The sequence below is a fragment of the Homo sapiens genome, chromosome 21 (assembly GCF_000001405.40).
Source record: "Homo sapiens chromosome 21, GRCh38.p14 Primary Assembly".
Lineage (NCBI taxonomy): Eukaryota > Metazoa > Chordata > Mammalia > Primates > Hominidae > Homo > Homo sapiens.
The window spans coordinates 39,979,536-39,985,016 of NC_000021.9; the positions used below are offsets into that span (position 1 = coordinate 39,979,536).

The following is a 5,481-nucleotide window of genomic DNA, read 5'->3' on the forward strand; positions in this document are numbered from 1 at the left end:
TGGAGGCATGTAGTCAGCAGGTCGGGCTCTCCCAGCAAATCCTCTTAGGTCACAGATTCCACCCGGTTCATGTGTTAGACGTGCACTCACATGGGTGCCACCTTTCCTAGTGGGAAACAACCGAATAGCAATACGCTGATATCAGTATCATTTTCTTTTTTTTTATCAGTATCATTTCCTTTTATTTGCCAAGAAAAGAGATCTCTGTGTTTTGGAATGAGACTGGGCCATTTTCTTGACCTGGGGAAGTCGGTTACCTTTACTTAGCTTCAATTCCTCATTTATTATGTGTGGAGAGTCACCTGTGATGCAGATTAAATGTAAGGGAGTAACATGTACAGTCTCCTAGCACAGTGTCTGGGGCATAACAGACATTCCGCAGTAGTAATGATCGTCATCAGGATCATATAGCTGGTTCCTTTGAAATACCTCCGCATAAGCCATCTATAAGGTTCTTTCTGAAAAAATACTAGTTGATTTGAATGTGGATTAGGAAAAGGCCACTGGGTTTGGGGAAGGTGGAGATATGGCCACATTCTAAATTTTAATGGTATGCTCCTTTGAAAAAGGAGTTCCAGGCATGACTTCCTCCTTTGTGTTCATGTATGATTGCTTGACGGTAAGACTAATGTCCCATACATTTTATTAGTCCACATATTGGCCATCAAGGATGGGGCAAGTCCTTCTTACTGGGTCCCAGGAGTGGCATGCCTTGTGGTTAGCCTGTGTTCCTTCTCTGGTTGCCTCAGCCCCTTTTCTTTCTTCTTTCTCCTGACTTTTTCTGGGCAGGTTTCTCTGAGAACTAGGTAGAAAGATCACATTAGTCAGAGGAAAGATGAAAAGAAATTAGTGGTTACAGTCTTATAGCTCACTTGGGAAATCTGTGCCCGTTCTCCAGGGGTTTTCAGCTTTAATTTTTCTAATTCAATCGTTTTACAGTCTGAACCCGCTGGCAGGCAGTGAATTTCTTTTAAGATTGCTGCAGCAGGGAGCTTCTATTGGCAGAAATAATTTTTTAGTGCTATAAAAATCTTGGCGGAGTTTGAGAAACATCCTGGTGGTCCCAGCCCATCTCCTAGTGACCACTCCATTAAATCCAGGAAACAAATCCTTCATCGACTGCTATCACAAAGTTGAAATTTATTATACAGTTCAGAAGTGTAACGATTCTGGGAAATCAAGAAGAAATGGAGATGAAATTCCCAGCTCCACAGCATAATTCTCTCAGTAAATGGACACAATCCTGCCTCTTATTTTGAGCTCAAAAGACAGACTTTGAAGATCTGAAAGTTTCTATTATTGATGCTACTTAAAAGAAGTTGGCTCCAAAATCATCAAGTACTCTGTTTGTGGAATAAATGGAGTTTTAATGGCCTGTGGTGCCATATGAATATTCATGCTAATAGGTATTTTCCATTTAGGATATTAACCACATAGTAACCAAGAATTAATTCTAATGGCTGGCCGTTGTTATAGGCAACTAATTTATGTTGATTCTTGACTAGAAAAAGCAAATTGCCACATCCATTAAGGACATTAAAGGAAGCTATCTTTTTTCCTTCACCTGCACCAGCCCACAGGCAGACTCCCCCTACATCTGCTGAGCATCCAAATGTCTTCTAAATGTGTTTACCAGTTTTATTTCAACCAGTAAGTGCCCTGTTTTCCATTTGCTGTTACTCAGTTAACAAGAAAGGAACCCAATATGGAAAATTTAGATTAAGCATCAAGAGCTGAATACTTATAATCCATTTAACTAGGTCCTTTATATCAGAATGAGGCCTTGCAGAAGGCAAAAGAAATCTTGTTGGTCACTGTTTTGTGCAGATCAGAATGAGTGTCCCTGACCTCAAGTATTGTAGACGTCAAAGCTGACTGGGTGAGGAGGATAGCCTTTCTTTTTGCACACTTGGATAAGGCAAAAGTAAAGGAGTCTCAAGGAAGAAAATAATGAACCATTTATTTTCCAGTCTTTAACCAAGATCATAAGAAACTTGTTGTGATCATAAGAAACCAGCCTTCCCTCAAAATCGACATGTTAGATGTCAAGTCTCTGCTTACAGAGCCCGGCTGAAAAGAATAATTTTTCTGAGAGTTATTCATTGAGGGTTCTCTGCTTATTTTCCCCTTTTCTAGCCAAGAGTTATGATCTTTAGTAAGACCACCTGGTGGCAGACCACCTACTACTACCAAACTCAAAAATATACTTTAAGTACTCTAACAGAAAAATAAAAAGGAAAAAGAGAAAAGCAAAATTCTAGGAGTTTAATGGGAAACCAGAATATCTTTGGCATGAAAATATTGGAAATATATTTTATATACTCTAGCACAGTAACTTCCCTCCAGCTCCTTTTCCTATGTAAAATTCAGCTATGATGTAGATCAGCCTCGAGATGCCTGGCCTGCAAATGCACAACTTTGGAATCAGTACATGCAAATTTCTCCAAAATGCTCTCGTATTTTTCAAGAGAAGATCTTTTCATATAGAACAGATCATGATTAGGACATAATTTGTCATATTTCGATTCTATGTCATGAATTTATCTTCTTTGTCATATTCCTGGGGTGTGCATAACCGTTGCTCACTGTTTTACTCTCATGGCCCTGCTTATGGTAGGTGATCAATAAATATTTATTAAATGTGTAAGTAAATAAATGAATATGATCTTTATGTAGACCACATGCTGTTGAGCATAAAATATTCAACAGTAATGGCTTGATCTGCTGTTACTGGAGAAGGGAAGAGGTTGATTTCTGATGGTGCAATGGAGGATCGCATCCATTTTCATCTTACATCCTATAGCACCACAGGGTGTTTAAAGGACCCTACTACCATCGCCACCAATGTCAGTGGACATAGGTTCCAATGATTTCAGAGCCCATTTCATTAGAGAGCTTTGTTTTCACACCTTTCCATGTTCGATAACATAGGCAGCCTGGATTTTGTGCAACAAAGAAAAGCATTTCATAGGATTCAGTTGACAAGAACTAGAACTTAAAGCATCATTCCTTCCCTTAATTAATAGATTTAAAAAAATGCATCTATGGGCTAGGGACTCTGTTTTGTGCTGGGGACTAAAACAGGATTAAGATAGGAGTCTAGTTCTCAAGGAGGGAAGGCCTGTCATTGCTCACTGTAGTTTGAGGTGTCATGACACAGGCGCACGGACTGCATTGGGGGAATTGATCCCCAAACTGAGATTCAGATTCAGGGCCCAAATCACGCTGTACTTAGCTGCCATGTTTGTCATTATCAGCACCATGTCTCCCTCTGTGCCATTGCTAATGCAGTAGTTCTGCAAAGAACAACTAACCCTGGATTTTCTGCAAGTTTCAATTTGGTGCTTACCAGGATGGGTCAAGGGAAAATTTCTCATGGACTGTGGTACTCGTTTCTATCACTAAGTGATGCTTAGCAAGTTTGCTGATGAAAACATCTAGCGGAAAGAAGCAGACGGTGGCATGGCTTTGGAAACTCCCTACATTCCCCACAAAAACACCAGAGCACAAAACTAAAAACCCACATACACCAACTGAGCCAGAGTAGGGACAGGTCTGAGCCCACCCCCACCTACATGTTTCTCCATACATGCCTGCTGACCATCGGACCTCCTGGCATCACCCCAGCTGGCTCATACCCGCTGACCAGACCTTGCAAGCTGTCTAAAAAAACTAAGCTAAGAAGTATTTCACCATAAATTCCACTCAGGAGAGTTAAGTCTATTGCCCACATGTGCACAAGACCAGGAGAATGACCAATCCTTACTCTGAGCCTCATTGTAATACCTTCGCCCAGGGAGGGGCTTAGCTGCCATTTTCTAATCATGCAAAATATGTGTTAGCATGATTTCTTACTGCATCTGCACACCCTGCACTCCACCCTGCACGTGAAATGACCCTCACCTACCTCGTGAGTTATGCATGTCACCCTTCTTAAGACACCGCAAGGCATTCCCCTGGGGTGCCAGCCAGAGGACCCTTCTTCCTGTGCTGTCTCCCAATGTATGCCCAATGTTTCAGGCAGAAGTCTTAATAAAGCTTGTCTAGGAAACTTGCTTGGCCTAGTGACAATTTCTGTTGCATGGGGGCCTAAGAACTTGTGGTCAGTAACACAACCACCATGAAACTTAGTGAGAGGAGCCCTGCAAATCCCATCATCTAAGGGAGCAGAATCCTGGATCACCAGATGCCATCACCCCACCTCTTCTGCACCACATCCTCATCCCACCAAGTTTGCCTGCCTCCCTCCCTCCCTTCCTTCCTTCTTTCCTTCCTTCCTTCCTTCCCCCTTCTGCACCACATCCTCCCCATCTCTTAACACTAACATTCCCTCCCTCCCTCCCTCCCTCCCTTCCTTCCTTCCTTCCTTCCCCATTGTCCTCTGAAGCTGAGGCTGAAAGGGAGTAGGAGAAACTAGTATGTATTGGGCCACTGCTCTCTGCCCAGCAGTGGTACCCATGAAAATATCTCAAATCGGAGAATGGGATTTTCCAGAATCTCTGTGGTTTCATCTAATTTTGTTATTTTCAATAAATTTAATTTGTTGAACTTACATAACTAAATGTTACTTTTTGTATGCTTGTAAAACTTCTCATAAATAAATCCATAAACCCTAAAAATACTCTTATTTCTAAATGTGTACCATGGTTTTGGTTTGGGAAATACAGTTTTATGCAAAGGGATAAATTTAAATTGAACAGCTGGAGAAACAAGCTTGAAAAAAAATTCAGCCTCCAAATAAGACAGAAGGATTTGATGGTGAAATGTACTTCAACGAAATTTAAAATAATTGCCTATGGGCTTTCGTTGTGGTGGTTTGTGTTCTTAAGACATTACCCAGCTGGAGTTAAAATGCCGGTGGTCCAGCGCTGTTTGCAGCTCTCTGGTGTGGGGGCTTCTTCTTCAGTTTGCTGACCCCTTCCCATCGGCCTGTGGACTGCGTGAGGCCGTCCAAATTCCCCCTTGAGTCTCCCCACTTCCCGCGGAATGTCTTCAGGGTTCATGATCTTGGACAAACATGTGCTGGAGATTTCCAACTTCATGTCTCTGGCTTTGACTAGTCTCTGGAAATCCAGCCACATTTCCGAATATCTGCAGGACGCCTCTATGGAGATTGGAACGATTTAGCCTGGATCCATGAGCATTTAACAAAATCCGCCACGGCTGCTGGGAGCCGATAGTTCCGGGGAAGTTTTATGCAAAATTGAGTGTGTGTGTGTGTGTGTGTGTGTGTCCGTGTCCGTGTGGTGTGCATACCTATGGATGTGGGGGTGTGGGGAGGGTGTGTTTGCACAGTGCATTTTTCTGGGAAGAAAGTACATAGATTTTTTTCAGATTTTCAAAGTGTACTTTGGTGCTTCTCTTCCCCCACAGTAGCTAATGTTCTAGGAATGCTTATCTTGCGCCAGGCATCATACCAAGTGCTTTATTGGTATTGTATATTTAATAATTTCAGTCATCTTTTGAGGTATGATCTGTTCA

The 5,481-nt window shown here is 42.1% G+C and overlaps 1 annotated feature.

Annotated features, from left to right (window-relative positions):
• Nucleotides 4,973-5,173: a silencer, noted in NCBI's record as "peak4411 fragment used in MPRA reporter construct". NCBI's record gives its function as "represses an SCP1 promoter by STARR-seq MPRAs in K562 erythroleukemia cells {active_cell/tissue: K562}" and the evidence as "EXISTENCE:reporter gene assay evidence [ECO:0000049][PMID:32103011]".